This window comes from Homo sapiens, chromosome 7 (genome assembly GCF_000001405.40).
Source record: "Homo sapiens chromosome 7, GRCh38.p14 Primary Assembly".
Classification (NCBI taxonomy): Eukaryota; Metazoa; Chordata; class Mammalia; order Primates; family Hominidae; genus Homo; species Homo sapiens.
This window is the reverse complement of record NC_000007.14, coordinates 139,261,216-139,282,168: the sequence shown is the minus strand read 5'-3', so window position 1 is coordinate 139,282,168 and position 20,953 is coordinate 139,261,216. Positions and strand designations below refer to the sequence as shown.

Below are 20,953 nucleotides of genomic sequence, written 5' to 3'. Positions count from 1 at the left end.
AAAGCCTATTACATAAAAGTCGTATCAAAGTCTCTTCAATTAGTTTCTTAAACAAACCCAAACAAACCTAGAGTGTTATATTACATACTGATTGATACAACCATAGCACTTACCTTAAGCATAGTGGGGAAAGAATGGAGAGGAAGGGTCTTTACCATCACCTCCTAAGGTATTACATAAGCAAGCTGTTAAGAATACTGTTACACTCTAACTTCCTTAGTATTTTTTCTAAGCTTTTACTCTAAAACCCCTGATTAAAAACCTCACTACCAATTGGAAGTACAAGTGTAACTGCATTAAGGTCACAAATGTCTGCTAAGAAGAATGAGTAATGCAGATGAAACACATTTGTTTTGATATGCCATCCACTTACATGATTAGTGAAAATTCCATTATAAAAAGTACACAATAAAGGGTAGGAAATGTATCCCAATATTGGAAGTATTACTAGTATAAAACTGCTGTTTTAAAATAACTTTTTGATTAATTTTTATTTATAAAACCATTAAATCCACTCTAATAGAATACTGTGCAGATTTATACTGGCAGAGAAAATTGTTCAGGATATATAACTGAGTCAAAAAAGCAGGTTATCCCATTTATATAAAAGACTAAATAAATAGATAGCTGATTGGATAGATGGATGGATGTATGGATGGACGGACGAATGGAAGGGAGGGAGGGAGGAACAGAGTTTCAGAAGAAGGGAAGGAAGATGTGTCCTAGAAAGCTAAGAGCTTTTATTCTCTGACTGAGGAGAAATTTATAGATACTTTTACTTTCCTCCTTACTTTTCCGGGTTATTTGCATTTTCTTTTGTAGGCATTTCCTTATCTTATCTTTATAACTAGAAACACTATGGGGAGTTACAGTAGAAAAAAACCACATTAACAGTATAGCTTTTCCATTTTGGGAAAATGAAAAAGTAATTTAATCATAGAGAAGGAAACATACAAAAAAACTGATGACTCCCCCATATCATCCTAACACAACCAGTATCAGAATTTAATAAATTTCCTATCCTATTATTCTATTAATCATATGTTTGAATAGATGTATCAAAATGTAACCAATCCTTTATGGAGGGTACTAAGACTTTAGTATTCTAATAAAAATAAAGTCAAGTGTCAAAACAACATCTAAATTCAACAGATTTAATGAAAGATTGGCTCAATATTATTTGGATCAGAAGACAAAGTAGGCTATTAAGAAAAAGAGGACTACTGGCTGGGCATAGTGGCGCATGCCTGTAATCCCAACACTTTGGGAGGCCAAGGCGGGTGGATCACGAGGTCAGGAGTTAGAGAGCAGCCTGACCAACATGGTGAAACCCCGTCTCTGCTAAAAATATAAAAATTAGCCAGGCATGGTGGTGTGCGCCTGTAGTCCCAGCTACTCAGGAGGCTGAGGCAGGAGAATCGCTTGAACCTGTGAGGCAGAGGTTGCAGTGAGCCGAGATCGCACCACTGCACTCCAGCCTGGGTGATAGAGTGAGACTCTGTCTCCAAAAGAAAAACAAGAAAAAGAAAAAGAAGACTATTTACCCTGCATTTAAAGAGGCTCTAACACCAAAAAAGTCAGGAAGGCCACAGAATAATATATAATGACCATCTGGCCACAATCTTATAAGCAAAGAACCTCATCTATTAAAAACAACAACAACAACAAAAACCAAAGAGACAAAGGCTATGGAGCAAAGTGTAAAACCTAAAGAGTATGAGCTTTCATTAAAATTTTAATTTCAAATGATTATAGTTTTTACTTCTAGAGGTTATATTTTGATTCTCTTTCAAATCTACTTTGTCTATTTTGATAGGATATTTTTTATTCCCTTTTCTATTTCTCTAAATATTAAAAATTTTTCAGTCAAATTATTTTATGTACTAAATTCCATAAGTGCACTACTTGTCCGTCTTAGGGATCTAACTGCTGTTTATTGTTCCTACTGAATCTCACTCATAGTAACTTATTCTCTCATGTATTCTGTATTTCAGACTGCAAGCTCAGGTCTGCCATGGTTTATAGGAGGAATGCCTTTGAGGCCTCTGAAGAGGGCACGTTATACCAAAGAGAATTTGCTTTTGCCAGTGGCCCCGGGTCACTACTAATCCAGTAACCAAGCTACTTTTTCAGCTTGGCGTTTTCTCAGATTGTAGAGGTAGTGTAACTGAAACTCCTAAGCCAAGAAAATTTTTCAGCAAGGACATTCTTCCCCCAAACCAGAACCCAGTCCAAGACAGCCACTTAATGTCTCTGCTGGTTGCTGGATTTCTTTCTAGTCCTTTCTTTTACTAAAGATGTTATTGTTTGAAGGTCCAGCTTTACACAGATTTCATCCCAAGTTTTAACCTGTACAAGCCCAAGAAAACCCTAACTGCTATGCTCTGAGAAGAAACGTAAAAAGAAACCATAAAGTGATGGGTAGAAAGTGCCAAATGCCTCCAAGGGCAACCAAAGTGTAAGCGACAGATTAACACTGTCAGCTCCTTTTTTGTTTCTGGTCTTATGAATTTTTCTTACATATTTTTCAATCTCACCTATGCTATGAAAGAATATTTGTTGTATTTTACCTAGCATTTCCAAGTATTAATAAAGTTAAGCTTCACAATTGGTGTATGCATATTCCCCACTGCTACACAGGAATCTATTCTCCCAAATACAAAAGTACTAAGATTATTATGAAGTTGAAAACATCTATCTTATAGTGCCTACTGACCTCTGCTAAATACCATACATCTTTTTCATCTTAGGAATGTATTTCAACATTCACCAACTATAACTAATTAAATATTTTGTTTCAGTACTTACCTTTACTTTGGGTTTAGGTGCAGGAATCACCTTTTTCTTTGCCCTAAGATAAAAAGATTTTAAAAGGCTATTTCAGTAGCAGTTATATTGCTCATTAGAAAGTTATATAGCTTTGTAATTATGTGGTAAATAATTCCTTCTGCTATTTGGAAAGCTCTTTGAAGGAACCGTATTTAAGTGCTCAGTTTATACGAAGTATGTAGCAACATTTTCCCCAATTCAGATTAATTGAAAGGCCAAACAACTAGTAAAACATGAAATGTAGATAATACAATTTTTAAAAAATTAAATGTAAATAAACCATAAAATAGCCCCCCCAAAAAAAGAGCTTCAAGGAACCGCAGGCTCAAATTAAACCATGCCAAGAAGGTGTGAATGAGATTTAACTTAACCAAAACAAAAAAAACCCTGAGCTTTTAAAGAAAAATTTTTGTAATGTAAAAATTCAAATAAAAAATGTCAAAATGACAGGGAGAAAAAGGGCAAGAAAAATTACTATGGAATCTTGAAACTTTTGGAAAACTAAGAAAAAGTTTGAAGATGAAAAAAAAGAACAAGTTCCATAGTAAGTCAAAGTATTCAAATGTTTGTTGAATAATTAAATTGTTGACAAGCTAAAATACTTCACCTTGCCTATTTCACTTGGCTAAAATGTCATCAATTAGATTAACAAGAATCTTGATTAAAACTGTCAATTTACAACTTCATTTAGGCAACAGTAATTTTCTATGTTTTTTTTTTTTATGAAGGCCATTTAGGGAAACGACCTCTAGGCCCACTTATCCCATAGATTCCTACTTTCTGGTACAAAACAAAACACAAAGTTAAACAAAACACAAAGTTAATGATAATAATGAAGCTATTTAAAAAAAGGGAGAAGGAGGCTGGGTGCAGTGGCTCATGCCTGTAATGCTAGCACTTTGGGCTGAGGCAGGCGGATCACGTGAGGCCAGGAGTTTGAGACCAGCCTGGCCAACATGGTGAAACCCTGTCTCTACTAAAAATACAAACATTAGCCAGGCGTGGTGGCGCACGCCTGTAGTCCCAGCTACTCAGGAGGCTGAGGCAGGAGAATTGCCTGAACCTGGGAGATGGACGTTGCAGCGAGTTGAGATCGTGCCACTGAACTCCAGCCTGGGCGACAGAGCAAGACTCCATCTCAAAAAAAAAAAAAAAAAAGCCAGAGAGAGACAGAGAGGGAGACATCTTTTGTAAACACCTTTAGAATTAAAGGAATGCATTATTTGTACCTGAATTGTAATGTATATATGGCTTTAGAACTACAGTAGCCCCCCTTATCCACAGTTTTCAATTTCCACGGTTTCAGTTGCCTGTGGTCAACTGAGGTCTGAAAATATTAAATGGAAAATTCCAGAAATAGAGATAAACCACATTCACATAACTTTTATTATAGTATACTGTTAAACGGTTCTCTTTTATTATTGTTGTTAATCTCTTACTGTGCCTAATTTGTAAACTAAAATCTATTATAGGAATGTATGTATAGGAAAAAATAGTCTATGTAGGGTTCAGTACTGTCTGCAGTTTTGGCATCCACTGCAGGCATCTTGGAGTATATTGTCTGAGGATAAGGGGGACTACTGTATAGGGAAATTAAAGCCGAAAATACCACTGACACAAACATATACGTATGTACATAAAATTTATTTCAAAGACAACAAAAACTCTTGCAACAAAGTAAACCTGTAATATATGAAACCAAACAACTTAGAATTTATACTAAAAAAAACAGAACCAAAAACCACAACCAACTCAATGCATCTCTGATATACAGTTGACCCCTGAGGATGAAGACCTTTATGATGATTCACTTCAACCTAATGAATAGTAAATATAATTTCTCTTCCTTATGATTTTCTTAACATTTTCTTTTCTTTAGCTTACTTTATTGTAAGAATACAGTATACTGTACATAAAACATATAAAATGTGTTCATGAACTATTTATGTTATCAGTAAGGCTTCAGGTCAACAGTAGACTACTAGCAGTGAAGTTCTGGGAGAGCTGAAAGTTACACATGGATTTCTGACTGTGTGGGATGAGGGGGTGAAATCCCTAACTCCCGTGTTGTTCCAAGGGTCAACCGTAATAATGAACTGTCCTTCCTAAAAACTAAAAAATTCCTATATAACTGCATACAAGGAGAGTAGGAATTTTATAATGTTGCCCAAAAGATATTAAACAGACCTCTCAGCAGAATATTGAATTAGAGTGTTCAGTAAATTCTCAGTAACTTGCTAATTTTATATTTTAATAACCCCCCCCTTTTTTTTTTCTGGAAACAAGGTCTGTTCTGTCCCCCAGGCTGGAGGGCGGTGGCATGATCTCCACTTACTACAACCTCCGCCTCTCTGGCATAAGCCATCCTCCCACCTCAGCCTCCTGAGTAGCTGGGACTACAGGCACACACACCATGCCTGGCTAATTTTTATAGTTTTTGTAGAGATGGAGTTTCGCCATGTTGCCCGGGCCAGTCTCAAACTCCTGGGCTCAAGCGATCCACCCGCCTCAGCCTCCCAAAGTGCTGGGATTACAGGCGCGAGCCACTGTGCCTGGCTTTAATAACCGTTAATGCCACCCTTGCAGGCTACAGAGAAGTAGCCCTACGTTGTAGGGAAAAATGAAACTGTTCTGGAATTGACCAATATTCAACCAAAAAGGTGACCACAGAAAAAACTTGCCTTTTTGTTGTATGTGGAGGGGATAAAAGATCTTTCTCTAGTAATCACATCACTAAGGAAATACACGGTTTTGAACAGAAGACCTCAAGAATAGGTTAATTTTGTGGAATAAAACACTCTGCAGTGCAGCGAGGGTGGGTGTGCATATGGATCTGTCCTGGTAAACTCAGGACACAGAGGGCTGTAGATTACAAATGCAGATGGACATTAAGAGGTGGAGAAAAAGACTGGCAGGTAGAAGGCCCAGGAACAAAGGAAAATCCCTGAGCCTTCATGCTTCCCTACTACCAGAATCCCAGGCCATTATGTGTCACAGTGTGGATTTAGTAGGTGTTTAGAGAGTACCCTGACAATTATTTCAATAGATAAATGTGTTCTGAAGTCTAAATAGTCAATGGTCAAAATGATCTTTTTAAGTCCTATTCCAACTAGCATTTAATAAATGATACTTTTGTTCACTAAAGCACATAATGTGAATAAATGAAGCAATCTGGAGTCTGCATTTACTCACGGAGCAGAAGTAAGATGATTATGAACACTCCGGCTTTCCTTAAAAAGCATTCTGGAAAAATTTAAAGAACACAATTATTATTTTCTTTATAGCAGATAGTAACATAATTGTTTTATTTTTTAAAGTAATTTAATTTTCAGTAGACTATTACTGCTTATTTACCAAGTAAAAGTTATAATGGTACAGTATACTCAATAATCTATTTTATGGAGAGTTTTATTCATAGCTCACTATAACCTAGGCCTCCTGGGCTCAAATGGTCCTCCCAACTCAGCTTTCAAAGAAGCTGGAATTACAGGTGTGTGCCACCATGCCCAGCTAATTTTTAAAACTTTTTGCAGAGTCAGGGGTCTCACTATGCTGCCCAGGCTGGTCTTGAATCCCTGGCCTCAAGCAATCCTCTCACTGTGGCCCTTGGCCTCCTAAAGTGCTGAGATTATAGGGGTGAGCTACCACACCTGGCCAACAGATCTTTTCTGTTGATAGAAGATGGAGCAATTTAATTAAAATCATGGGTTGAACTAGCCAAGTTTATTAATTTTTACTTAACTCGTTTTTTTTTTTTGAGACAGAGTCTCGCTCTGTCACCCAGGCTGGAGTGCAGTGGCACGATCTCAGCTCACTGCAACCTCCGCCTCCCAGGTTCACGCCATTCTCCTGCCTCAGCCTCCCGAGTAGCTGGGACTACAGGTGCCCGCCACCATGCCCGGCTAATTTTTTCTATTTTTAGTAGAGACGGGGTTTCACCGTGTTAGCCAGGATGGTCTCAATCTCCTGACCTCGTGATCCACCCTCCTTGGCCTCCCAAAGTGCTGGGATTACAGGCGTGAGCCACCGTGCCCAGCGACTTTTTTTTTTTTTTTTTTTTTTGAGACAGAGTTTTGCTCTTGTTGCCCAGGTGGAGTGCAATGGTGCAATCTCGGCTCACTGTAACCTCTGCCTCCCGGGTTCAAGTGATTTTCCTGCCTCAGCCTCCTGGGTAGCTGGGATTACAGGTGCCCACCACCATGCCCAGCTAATTTTTGTATTTTTAGTAGATACAGGGTTTCACCATGCTGGCCAGGCTGGTCTTGAACTCCGGACCTCAGGTGATCCACCAGCCTCGGCCTCCCAAAGTGCTGCTATTACAGGTGTGAGCCACCGCAACGGGCCACATTCTTAACCCTTGAGACTTTAAACAGAGCGACTCTTTGTTTCTTGAGATATCTCTCTACACTGAATATTTTCTTATTTATTTACTTATTTTTTGAGACTGGTCTCAGATTCCTGGGGCTCAAAGTGATCCTCCCACCTTGGCCTTCCAAAGTGCTGAGATTACAGGTGTGAACCACTGCACCTGGCCTACACTGACTATTTTCTTTTTTCTTTTTCTTTTTTTTTTTTTTGAGACGGAGTTTCGCTCTTGTTGCCCAGGCTGGAGTGCAATGGTGCAATCTCGGCTCACCACAACCTCCACCTCTGGGGTTCAAGCGATTCTCCTGTCTCAGCCTCCCTAGTAGCTGGGATAACAGGCATGCGCCACCACGCCTGGCTAATTTTGTATTTTTAGTAGAGACAAGGTTTCTTCATGTTGGTCAGGCTGGTCTTGAACTCCCGACCTCAGGTGATCCACCTGCCTTGGCCTCCCAAAGTGCTGGGATTACAGGCATAAGCCACTGTGCCTGGCCTCTACACTGACTATTTTGAATAGAATCTAAGGCTGTGTCTCTTTTCCTATGCTCTAATCCCATATTAGGTTCCTCATCTTCATGTTACCCCTATAAAGCTCCTCTCCCAAACTTCATAACCATTTGGGAGTCTTCCCTCTTCTCTTTTTCTCTACTAGCAAATTTGGGTGTTAAAAAAAATGTTAAGTAAAATATCACCTTTACATCTATCTCTGTGTGCGCGACTGTTTTGTCATTTAAGTGCTTAAGGTTTTCAAAGCAAGGATCATCTGAGATGACTAGACAGCATGCTGAATATATTAGGTTCTTAGCAAAATCAATGTCACATATGTGTATGTGTATGTATATCTTTAATAACAGCAATAATAATAAAATAAAATAAAATCCAGTAAGTCACATTTCTTACCTTGCCTGCATCCAGCCCTTAGGCCACAGGGGCTTCACTTCTGTCTCCATAAAAGACTTAAGATAATCTTCAGCAGACTGGCTTTTATTTGGTTCTAACTCATAGCATCCCAATTTGATCTCAACAAGGTTACATAACAAAGTTCTAAACAGATTGAAAATTAAATTTGAAACTTTTTTTAGAAGAACATACATTTGGCAGCAATAATACAGATTATGTGAAAAATTCAGAAAATAACAAACAATTTCTAACATATATCATTCATTGCACCACAGTCAAACCTGCAATATGAAACAATTTCCTTTGATATCTTTAATCAAAGCACCAAAGATTGAAAGGGATGGTTCTCTACTTGGGGTATAGAAATACTATTGAGAAAGATGGCTAAAGAAGAAATATGTTGAAAGTACTTCACCTTCTGAAACCAGTATGACTTACACCATTATTAGATTAGTTTGTAAAAAGTATTACAGTGTATATGAAAATAAAAGCAATAATACTCTGAGGATATTAGAGCCCAATTAATCTTCTCTTGAATAATTTTTTCCTACACACTAATCTTTGGTTGCTTCCAATCTAGTTTTATATTTATTATAGATTTTTTTTTAATGAGGAATCTTACTTCTGCATTATATATTAAAAGTGAAAACTAATTAAATCTTACCTGATAGTGTCATCCCAGTGGAATTTCTTTCTTGGTCCTATGACACGTTTTCCTGGTTTCTCATCATCATCCTCTTCAGATCCATTTTTTTCTCGTTCTTCATCTGTCTGCAATCTAAAAATGAAAAACACTTTACAAAACAAACTTTTAACCCAACACTGCCTATATAATATGCTCCATAAATACTTGCTGAATTGCTTAATGGAATGTTAAAAGAGAGGGTAAAGACGGAATCTACCTTTCCACATAATACTTCAAATTTGAAAGGAGTTATAAAGTAGTTTGGTAAATAAGGACTTCAGATTATAATGTAAAGGCACCAACATTCACCTTTTAGGTCAGAAAACACTTGTGTTCAACCACAGTCAGTCAAGCTGGGGTTGTGAAATCTCTCACCAGTGTCAGCTCTTGCTTGATCACCTCCATACAATCAATCAACAGACACCTTTTGTCTCTGACTGCAAAGCAACTGAGTGCCATTTACAAAATACTCAATTATATCAAGTCAGCAGTATATGTGGATTTCTACTTGAGAATGAGGTCCACTTAACATCAGAACAGCTAAAAGTACTTCTCAAATGCACGTCCAGGTGCAGTGGCCCACGCCTGTAATCCCAGCACTTTGGGAGGCTGAGGCAGCTGGATCACCTGAGGTCAGGAGTTTGAGACCAGCCTGGTCAACATGGTGAAACCCTGTCTCTACTAAAAATACAAAAATTAGCCTGGTGTGGTGGCACGTGTCTGTAATCCCAGCTACTTGTGAGGCTGAGGCAGGAGAATGGCTTGAACCCGGGAGGCGGAGGTTGTACTGAGCCGAAATCGTACCATTCCACTCCAGCCTGGGCAACAGACTGAGATTCCGTCTCAAAATACATACATACATACATACATACATACATACATACATACATACATAACGTACATACACTTCTCAAATGCAAAAGCCAGTCCAAATAGAAGAGATACATACTTGGCACACTTAGCTTGACTACGAGCCTGGCAGTCCTCCTGGTATTTAAATAGCTGTTCAGGCATGACATTGCTAACAGCCAGTTTCAGTTTTTGCAGAGGTTCTCTTAAACGATCATCCTAAAAAGAAAAACATACTAGAAGTTTTTATCAGACATATTTACGAAATCTTGTAAGCAGGTCCTCAAAAGATAAAATTTATGTTTTAGATACCAATTATAGATTTGAAATATTAGCATATCTAAATATGGACATTTCTTCTACAGCACTGACTTTTCCTAAGACACACTGGATACAAAATTAGAATGACATATTCCAGTTAGCCAAGAAGAGTTCCAGTTTTTCCCTGTCGCCCAGCATAATTATTAATAGTGTTCCATTACACTCTTCAAAATGCCCCGTGAACACTTTCATACAGAAAACGGAAAACAAAATCATTGTATTCTACTTGTATAGACTACTACTGGTTAATTTCCATTGTGATGGGAAACCAGTACCCTAAGAATAGACACTGCTCTGGAACACGAAGACACGTGTTTGGTTTGGGTGACTACCAACCGGACGTTGGTATCCTGTTCTCTCAGTTATGGTTAGTAATTTTGACTTAGGCTGCAAGTAAAAATGCAAGGTCAAGGCCAAAGTGAAAGGAACCCAAAAACTCTTATTCATGTGCGTTTTCAGGGCAAAAAAGAAAGTAGGTTTGCATCTGACAGTTTTAATCAACCAATTTATTACTTTCATCTTACAAGCATCTTACAAGTATATATGTAACTACTTAAAACATACTTTTATCACCATCATAGGTGCAGAAATATTATAAGACTTTTCTTTACTGAAACAATTTTTTTTTTTTTTTTGGAGACAGAGTCTCGCTGTCACACAGGCTGGAGTGCAGTGGCACCATCTTGGCTCACTGCAACCTCCGCCTTCTGGGTTCAAGTGATTATCGTGCCTCAGCCACCCGAGTAGCTGGGACTACAGGTGTGTGCCACCACACCCAACAAATATTTCTATTTTTAGTAGGACAGGGTTTTGCCATGTTGGCCAGGCTGGTCTCGAACTCCTGGCCTCAAGTGATCTGCCTGCCTCGGCCTCCCAAAGTGCTCGGATTACAGGCGTGAGCCACTCAGCCAAAACAACTGTTTTTAAAATGTGATTTTTGGTAAAGAAAAAGATTTTTAAAACACAAATATTACAAATAAGCATATTAACCTATTCCATGAACACCAGTAAATATTACAGCACATATAACATAAAATCCCATGTTTAAAAATGTGTATATTAACCTATTCCACGAACACCAGTAAATAAATATTATAGCACATATGACAAAATCCTATGTTTAAAAATGTGAACATCTGGCCAGGCGCAGTGGCTCACGCCTGTAATCCCAGTACTTTAGGAGGCCAAGGCAGGCAGATCACCTGAGGTCGGGAGTTCGAGACCAGCCTGGAGAATGGAGAACCCTGTCTCTACCAACCCTGTCTCTACTAAACATGGAGAAATCCCGTCTCTACTAAAAATACAAAATTATCTGGGCGTGGTGGCACATGCCTGTAATCCCAGCTACTCAGGAGGCTGAGGCAGGATAGTCACTTGAACCCAGGAGGTGGAGGTTGTGGTGAGCCGAGATCGTGCCACTGCACTCCAGCCTGGGCAACAGGAGTGAAACTCTGTCTCAAAAAAAAAAAATTAAAAAGTGAACATCTGGTATCATGGTTCCTAGATGATTACTTTTGAAGAATTATTTAGCTTAGGCTACCTGCCTGGAAACAACCCAAATATCCATAAGTAGTAAAATGGACAAATTAATTGGGATATATTCACACAATGGAACACTGTGTACCCAGCAGTAAAAAATGAATGTGTTTCTGGCCAGGCACGGTGGCTCACGCCTGTAATCCTAGCACTTTGGGAGGCCAAGCTGGGCGGATCACCTGAGGTCAGGAGATCAAGACCCCAGCCTGGCCAACATGGAGAAACCCCATCTTTACTAAAATAGGAAACTAGCTGGGCATGATGGCGGGTGCCTGTAATCACAGCTACTCGGGAGGCTGAGACAGGAGAATTGCTTGAACCTGGGAGATGGTGGTTGCAGTGAGCTGAGATCGCGCCACTGCACTCCAGCCTGGGCTGAGCGAGACTCTGTCACAAAAAAAAAAAAAAAAAAAGTATTTCTGCTATATGTAGACATAAGATGAATCTCAGGTGCACAATATTGAGCATTACAAGCTGCAGAAGAAAGCAGACAGTATTTCTTTATATATATGAAGCTCAAAAATATGCAAAACTAAATATAATGTTTAGGGATACAAATATATGTGATAAAACCATATAAAGAAAAGTAAGGATAAGATATCTTTCTTCCATAGCCAAAGGGATATTAAATAACTTCAAACATGCCAGGGATTCAAGACCAGCCTCGGCAACACAGTGAGACCCTGTCCCTACAGAAAAAAATTAAAAAATGGCCAGGGTAATGATGCCAGCCTGCAGTCCTAGCTACTTGGGAGGCTGAGGTGGGAGGACTGCTCGAGCCCAGGAGGTTAAGGCTGCAGTGAGAGCCATGTTCACGCCACGGCACTCCAGCCTGGGCAACGGGGCAAGACCCCGTATCAAAAGGAAAAAAAAAAAGGTGAGTACTTATATTAAAAAATACTGTTTGTCAGAGCATACCTACTATATTAACTTACATCCAACAATCTATGCCGTAGAAAACATTTCTCATCTAAACTTAACAATTGTTGAAGACGCAATTATTTTTCAGGGGATCCAACATACTTTTAATAACCTCCTATGGTTATTAAATACATACAATATGACTATAAATCAATTAATGTGCAAAGGCCCCAAACAGAAACAAGTATCTTTACAGGTTATGAAACCCAAGATGTAGATATTATTGTTCTTCCTCTTACCTGGACATTGAGATGTAACTTCTTCAGACGTTTTACTAGTGTTTCTTTATTGCATGGCACAAAAGCTTCAAGGTGGGAGTAGACACCACTGCGAATGACAGGGCCTAGTTCTTGTAGCTGTAACTCAATGCTGGCCAAAAAAGTTAACAACAATGAACAGTATAGAATTTATTTTAGGTGGCATTGCACAGACAAGAAAGCAAAGCCAGTTCTTGTTCTCATTTTATCTTTTCATGATTTCCTAAACAGTATTCTTCATGGAAAAAATAAAAAAAAACCCATAGCAATAAACAGTTTATTTATTTATTTATTTAGAGACAGAGTTTTGTTCTTGTAGCCCAGGTTGGAGTGCAATGGTGCAGTCTCGGCTTACTGGAACCTCCACCTCCTGGGTTCAAGTGATTCTCCTACCTCAGCCTCCCAGGTAGCCAGGATTACAGGCACCCGCCACCATGCCCAGCTAAGTTTTTTGTATTTTTAGTAGAGATGGGGTTTCACCATGTTGGTCAGGCTGGTCTCGAACTCCTGACCTCAGATGATCCACCCGCCTTGGCCTTTGATCCCAAAGTGTGGGATTACAGGTGTGAGCCACTGCGCCCAGCCCCATACCAATAAATAGTAATGCTATAAAAGTATTCTATCAATCTAGTTTAAGAGTAGAACTTCAATAACCATGAACAAGCTGGAAATATTTTTTGGGTTACAGGGGCAAACTCTATGGTTTTGGGTAAAGCACAATAAATTTGTAATTAACCAAAAGCTCCTTTCCTCAAAGAGATATTATACTACCCCTCGGCCCACTGGCAATTGCCCGGCAGGTCAAGGCCAGTGAGCCATGAGCACATCACTGCTCCAGGCTGGGCAACAGAGTGACACCCTGTCTCAAAAGAGAAAAAAGAAAAAAACATTTATGAGCAACGTCTGCTCTAGGTAGTAGGCAAGGAAATCATCAGCATGTTGTATATTTATTGATCCGGGTCAAATTCAATCAGGAAAAAAAGGGGGGGTTCCCTATTCCAACAAATTGATCTCTTTTTTCCCTAGTATAAGGAAGCAATGGCAAGGCATCACCAATACAACTGGATAGCTTCATGGGAGTTCCTACTCTAAATAATCATGTTCCATATTCTCTTAGAAGGGCAACTCAATACAGAAAATAAGACATGTTTGTTTAGGAAAGCGGAAAAAGAGGCTGAGGGAATAAGAAAGTGACTAAAAGGGAAAAAAAAAATTCAACTCAGAACACTAGTACTTGTGAAACTGGAGGCATACCCTCTGTGAAATAAAAAGCAGATGGGCTCCAAAAAATGGGAAGATTCGTTTTAAGATAGACATGAGAGGAATAAACAGGAAAGCCTGTTAATGGAATGCTGATACTCTGCTTATCTGAGATGCTATGTCCCAAGGATGGTCTTTTGACTCTCCCCGGAGAGAAACAGTTGTTCCCTTTTACAGAAGAGCAAAATAAAAAAGAACAGCCTCAGTCACAAGAGAAGGACCTGATCACACTTCGGGTTCCCAGGTGGAAAGAAAAAGAAGAGTTGGTCAGATCCCTGACTATGGAATCTGGGACAGCTCTGACAAGTAATGGCTGCACTGTTCACTGAGTCCGGGGTTTTAAAGGGAGCTAGGTAAAAGGAGGTGGTGTAGATAGAAAGCAGTTGCCTGGCTGCCACGCAGAAAAGACTCCATCTGAAAATTCCTGGTTAAAGTAACTAGGAACAGAAATGAGAAACTCCTCTGCCACCATACTAGCGGCAGACTAAGTTATACATTTTCTGAGTCTATTTTTAAGCACTCCAAAATAATAGACAGTAATAAATTACAAACATTATCAGAAGCAATGATCAATCAGCCCTTCTTCACATCTCATGAGAAACTGTCTCCATTATGTATTTAAAAGATGGAAATCATAGTATTATAAATATTACTTTCCTTTTCCTTTTATTTCCCTTTTCCTTCTCTCTTTCTCTCTTTTTTTTTTTTTGGAGACAGAGTCTCACCCTATCACCCAGGTTGGGGTACAGTGGCATGAACACAGTTCACTGCAGGCTCAATCTCCCAGGCTTAATGAATCCTCCCAACTCAGCCTCCTGAGTAGCCGACATGATAGGTGTGCACTACCACACCTGGCTAATTTTTCTGTATATTTTATAGAAATGGAGTTTCACTATGTTCCCCAAGCTGATCTCAAATTCCTCAGCTCAAGTGATCCTCCCACCTTGGCCTCCCAAAGTGTTGGGATTACAGGCATGAGCCACCATGCCTGACCTTTCCCGTGTCTTTCTATAATACATGATGCTACTAAGCCACTAAGAATAAGCAAACATTATTTTCACCAGAGAGGGCTAAAATTTGCTATTTTCCTCATGATTACTTTTTTGCCCAGTTCTGCATCCAATTATATACCTGATTCTTGTAAACAATGGTTAAAATCTAAGTCAAGGACAAGGTTTATAAGTTCAGTTTATTTGACCACAACCTTAGAACCTACAGCTTCATTAGTATCAAACTCTGAGTGCAAAATTATTGCTAAGTTAAATATAAAATTTGCTAATTTAAATACAATCTATATTATATATCTACCTTCACCTTCTTATTCTCAATCTAACTGCTATCTCCTCTACATTATCTCTATCCTACCTCACAACCACAATTTCTTTATAAAACTGTACTTTCCATTTGACTATAAAAGTTTGTACAAATTATAATCAACCTCACTAGATATCAACGGAATTACTATTCCCCAGTGTAAGTAATAAAAGTAGATGGAAAATCATGCCAAATCTGTATATAAACGCTCTAACATTTCCCAGAAAGATACTTTCATATAAGGTGGTATGAAGTACGTTAAGTCTAGCTTAATATCCAACCTGCATAGTCGTCACTTGCTCTGGCAGTTGTAACTATTGGAAGCTTTGATTATCCTAAGTGGTCCAGGAAAACCAATATATACAGAAAGATAATTTTGCTGAGAAACAAATGTGAATCATACATGCTGTAAGGCTTAAGGGGAAGAACTCATGCCCAAGACTTGCCAACCACTCAGTATCTCAAAGGCCTATTACATTTTTTAATGTATCATTCTTAAGGTTTTTTTTTTTAAAGAAAATTACTTACTCCAGAAGAATATTATTCATATCCTGTGTAAAGAATTTTTTCCTTCCTTCTTCATCAAAAAGTTTGGCAGCCTAAAGAAACAAGAAAGATGATAATAAATCAAAATAGGCCATTACTCTATTTTGCATTCTTAGGACACGTGTTCAAAGGTTTTTTTCTTTTTTTTTTTTTTTTTTTGAGATAGGGCCTCTCTATGTTGCCCAGGTTGGTATCAAACTTCTGGGCTCAAGCAATCCTCCCACCTTACAGCTTCCCAAGTAGCTGGGATTACAGGTATGTACCACTGTGCCCTGCTGCAATAAACAATTACTTTGAGATGAACATCTAATGAAAAAAAAAAAAAGAATCTCCTAACAGTAGAACACCAAATGAGTTGTGATGAACAGAGAGGCAAAGCCATTTGAGAGATTCAAATTCAGCTGGGTATTGTGTAAGTTTCCTGCAGCTATTATAGCAAACTACCACAAACTTTTTGGCTTGAAAAAAGAGAAATTTATCCTTCCTCAGTCCAAAGTCCAAAGTCAATATCACCGGGCTGAAATGAAGGTGTCAGCAGGCCCATGGTCCCTCCAGAGGCTCTAGGGAAGACCTTGTTCCTTGCCTCTTCCAGCTTCTGGTGGCTGCCAGCATTCTTTGGACACAGCCGCAGCATTCCAACCTCAAATCCCTCTAGGCTCTCCCTTCACATTACCTTCTCCTGTGTGTGTAAAACACCTCCTTCTGCCTCCCTCTTCTAAGCATACAAGTGATTGCATTTATGGGCCATAGGCTAATCTAGGATAACAACCCCATCTCAAGATCCTTAACTTAATCACACACACACAGATTCCACCCTTCTTTTGCCATATAAAATAACATTCGCAGATTCCAAGGATTAGAATATGGATATCTTTTGTAAGGCTTAATACAGAAATTTCTTTTTTTTTGAGACGGAGTCTTACTCTGTCGCCCAGGCTGGAGTGCAGTGGCGCGATCTCGGCTTACTGCAATCTCCACCTCCCGGGTTTAGGTGATCCTCCTGCCTCAGCCTCCCAAGTAGCTGGGACTACAGGTGTGTGTCACCACGCCTGGCTAATTTTGTGTATTTTCAGTAGAGACGGGATTTCATCGTGTTAGCCAGGATGGTCTTGATCTCCTGCCTCAGCCTCCCAAAGTGCTGGGATTACAGGTGTGGGCCACTGCGCCCGGCCAATATTTTAAAAATCTGTAAAAGTTGTGATCCTAAGAACATGAAAAAACAAAAAAATCAATTCCCATCAAGATTAAGAGTCTTTAGAATCAAATACAAAGATATTTAGAAATAGTATAGGTCACAGTAGGGTAGCTACAGTTAAAAATAATTGATGGCACATTTCAAAATAGCTAGAAGACAATAATTCAAATGTTCCTGGTATAAAGATAAATATTTAAGGTGATGGCTAACCCAATTACCATGATTTGATCATATGAATGTATCAAATTATGACATGTACCCCAAAAATATCTACATCTTATATGTATTAATTAAAAAATAGTGTAGGCCAGGCATGGTGGCTCACACTTGTAATCCCAGCACTTTGGCAGGCCAAGCGGGTGGATCATGAGGTCAAGAGACCAAGACATCCTAACGAACATGGTGAAACCCCGTCTCTACTAAAAATACAAAAATTAGCTGGGTGTGGTGGCATGCACCTTCTAGTCCCAGCTACCTGGGAGGCTGAGGCAGGAGAATTGCTTGAACCCGGGAGGCGGAGGTTGCAGGGAGGTGGAGGTTGCAGTGAGCTGAGATTGTACCACTGCACTCCAACCTGGGGACAGAGCAAGACTCCATTTCAAAACAAACAAACAAAAATAGTGTAGGTCAAAAAAAAGAGGTCCAAATCGTGTGATCAACCCCCACATTGAAGTTGCAGACTTCTACGAGCAGACAAAAGAATCTGGTGTCATATCTAACTTGAATCCAAGAAGACAGACTCTATGACTCTGTCCTTTAAGGAGTCACTGACATCATAATTATTAATAGAGTTAGCTACATTCCATGAGGATCGCTGACCAGAATACAGTCAATGATCCAGCTGAAATGTGTGGCTGGAGGCAGTATATTTTGGGGGAAAAAAATAACCATAGATATAGTCAACAACAACAAAAAATCAGTAGAGTTGGTAATCTCTAAGAGGAAGTTAAAAAGCCAAACATGTAGTGAATAAGTAAAGTAATACGGAATTGATAGTACAACTGTTGAAATAAACGATTTTTTTAAAAGGTCACTTAACTGATGATTTGGTGAAGGCAAAAACAGTATTTTTTAAAAAGTAATGTGAATAATAAATTAGTACTATTTTTAGATTCAATAATCATCACAGGTCATAAAAAGTATCAAACTGCAAATTAAGTTATAATCTCTTCATGATGCATATAGTACTTACCAAAGCCTAATGTGAATAAAAAATAGATTTCCTTTGAGTAAAAACACCTAGAAGAATTTCTGATGGAATTTTAAACTTTATAACCTTAAGACTTTTTATATGACCTAGTTATAGAAAATTAGATTTAGTTATCCAGTAGTCACACATGTATATAAACAAAAATGTCATACAATACTTTTGGAACCTACTTTTGATGTATTAGCACGTATTCCTATTTTTTTTTTTTTTTTTTGAGATGGAGTCTTGCTTGGTTGCTCAGGCTGGAGTGCAGTGGCATGCTCACTGCAACCTCCACCTCCCGGGTTCAAGCAATTCTCCCACCTCAGCCTCCCAATTAGCTGGGATTACAGGCGCCTGCCACCACGCGGGGCTAATTTTTGTATTTTTAGTAGAGATGGGGTTTCACCATGTTGGCTAGGCTGGTCTCAAACTCCCGACCTCAGGTGATCCGCCCACCTCGGCCTCCCAAAGTGCTGGGATTACAGGTGTGAGCCACTGTGCCTGACCATTTTTATTTCATTTTTTAAAAATGCTGGCCTTTACCTACTATTGTGATTTCCAACCAACTGATAAGTCTCAATCCACAGTTTAAAAAACAAGATACTGTTCCCATATTTATTTACTAAAAAATAAGCTCCTTGAGGGTAGGGCTATAATTCACTTAACTTTGTATCCTTGGTATGCAATTTAGTACCTGGCATAAAGTAGGCAATTAAAGAGTGTTGAAATTTAGCATACACACCCTTCTTTCATATTTGATATATATACATATAATTTGTCTTCCTAAATTCACAAAATGAGGCAAATACTTCGGATGTCTTGTGTATTTTGATTATCCATAGGTTTATTAATTCTTGCTGTGATTTGCAAGGTAACAGAAAGGAGACAGAAAGAGATGTCTCATTTTCTATACACGTTACTGCCTACCATGTGTCTGACTTCATGCTCATCACCATGTTTAACCTTCGTAACAGCCAAAAAAGTTGGTGTTACAGTCCCTATCTTATAAATAAGGAACTAACACACAGGATTGGTTCCTGCTAAATAAACGATAGCTATTATGAATAATTACACCTTGAAAAACCTGAATTACATCATTAGCACTTTTTAAAACCTAAAAGAAACTAAGATTGTAGAGATGGGGCCACATGGAATAACAAAAAAACCTATGCCACCTACTCTGGAGTCAGGTGAATCCCGCTGTTTAATAATAAAAGAACCAACTCTATTGATGTTATCACTATAGTTATTTCTATTTATTTATTTGGGTTTTTTTTTTTTTTTTGAGATGGAGTCTTGCTCTGTCACCCAGGATGGAGTGCAGTGGCGCAATCTCGGCTCACTGTAACCTCTGCCTCCCAGGTTCAAGCAATTCTCCTGCCTCAGCCTCTGAGTAGCTGGGATTACAGGCACGCGCCACCACACCCACCTAATTTTTTTTTGTATTTTTAGTAGAGACAGGGTTTCACCATATTGACCAGGCTAGTCTCAAACTCCTGACCTCAAGTGGTTCACCCACCTTGGCTTCCCAAAGTGCTGGGATTACATGCATGTGCCACCATGCCCAGTCAGTTATTTCTATTTAAGAGAAAAGGTCTAGGCTGGGCGCAGTGGGTCACACCTGTAATCCCAGCACTTTGGGAGGTCAAAGCAGGCAGATCACTTGAGGTCAGGAATTCAAGACCAGCCTGGCCAACATAGGGAAACCCCATCTCTACTAAGCATACAAAAATTAGCCGGGGGAGATGGTGCGCACCTGTAATCCCAGATATTTGGGAGGCTGAGGCAAGAGAATCTCTTGAACCTAATAGGCAGAAGTTGCAGTGAGCAGAGCACGCCACTGCACTCCAGCCTGTGTGACGACGGAGCAAGGCTTTGTCTCAAAATAAATAAATAAATAAATAAATAAAATAAAACACCAGGTGCGGTGGCTCACGCCTGTAATCCCAGCACTTTGGGAGGCCAAGGCAGGCGGATCACAAGGTCAGGAGATTGAGACCATCCTGGCTAACACGGTGAAACCCCGTCTCTACTAAAAAAAAAAAAAAAAGAAAGAAAGAAAGAAAAAAGAAAGGTCTAAAAGGAAACATGGCAAATAAAAAGTTATAAAAATGTTCAGATTGTAGTTTATTATTTTTATCTTTAAAAAACAAAAGCAATTATACCAGTGTTATGTGGAAAATAAAAACAAACGAACAAAAGCATTAATTCTTATGTTTGTGCAGCAAATAAAAAGCAAGAGAATTATTACACTTACTACACGAAGGTCTTCGATACGTTTTTCAAGAAGTACAGGTAGACCCTCTGGGAGTGTAGGTACCACTTTGGGCATAACCTGAGAAGTGTAGGTTGGCTGGGTGGTGGTTCCATTTTCACCCCCCGACTCAGATAGGGGGCTACCATCAGAAGCAGCATCCAGTAATCTGTCGAAGTCAAAATCATCTAGCATCTCTAGGGCATTTTCAGCTTCCTGAAACAGCTCATGTTCATTTGTGCTAACAAAAATGGGAAGGTCTGGATCACCGCTGCTCAGATTTAAGTCCGGGACGTCATTCCCCAGTGCTGCAGCAGCACATGGGGGTTTATTCAGAGAAGGGGTTGACAAGGTCACTGGGACTTTGGGGTTAGACTCCTTCTTTAATGCATCCTTCTCTTTCTGGAATTTTCTAATCATGGCAGCTAGAGAAAGAGAATCTTTATAACGTTTCTTCTTTTTTTCAGACTTGTGTGAATTTAGAGCCACAACTCTGTGAAGACAAAAATGATCAGTTAGGCTATGTGTG

General features: G+C 39.1%; 1 protein-coding gene across 8 annotated transcripts in view; it reads right to left on the bottom strand.

The window, feature by feature from the left end:
• Positions 1 to 20,953, bottom strand: part of UBN2 (ubinuclein 2) — a 99,192-nt gene that overhangs the window by 48,260 nt on the left and 29,979 nt on the right. For 6 of the 8 annotated variants that reach the window (XM_011516003.3, NM_173569.4, XM_006715916.5 and 3 more), the window contains 9 exons: positions 20,428 to 20,917; positions 15,766 to 15,836; positions 12,646 to 12,775; positions 9,729 to 9,847; positions 8,759 to 8,872; positions 8,095 to 8,238; positions 6,022 to 6,072; positions 2,809 to 2,851; positions 114 to 164 (listed from right to left, as the gene is read on the bottom strand). In XM_011516003.3, coding sequence (XP_011514305.1) covers positions 114 to 164; positions 2,809 to 2,851; positions 6,022 to 6,072; positions 8,095 to 8,238; positions 8,759 to 8,872; positions 9,729 to 9,847; positions 12,646 to 12,775; positions 15,766 to 15,836; positions 20,428 to 20,917 — 1,213 coding nt within the window. The remainder of the gene's footprint in view (positions 1 to 113; positions 165 to 2,808; positions 2,852 to 6,021; positions 6,073 to 8,094; positions 8,239 to 8,758; positions 8,873 to 9,728; positions 9,848 to 12,645; positions 12,776 to 15,765; positions 15,837 to 20,427; positions 20,918 to 20,953) is intronic. The other 2 variants (XM_011516002.4, XM_047420101.1) reach the window with 1 other exon arrangement.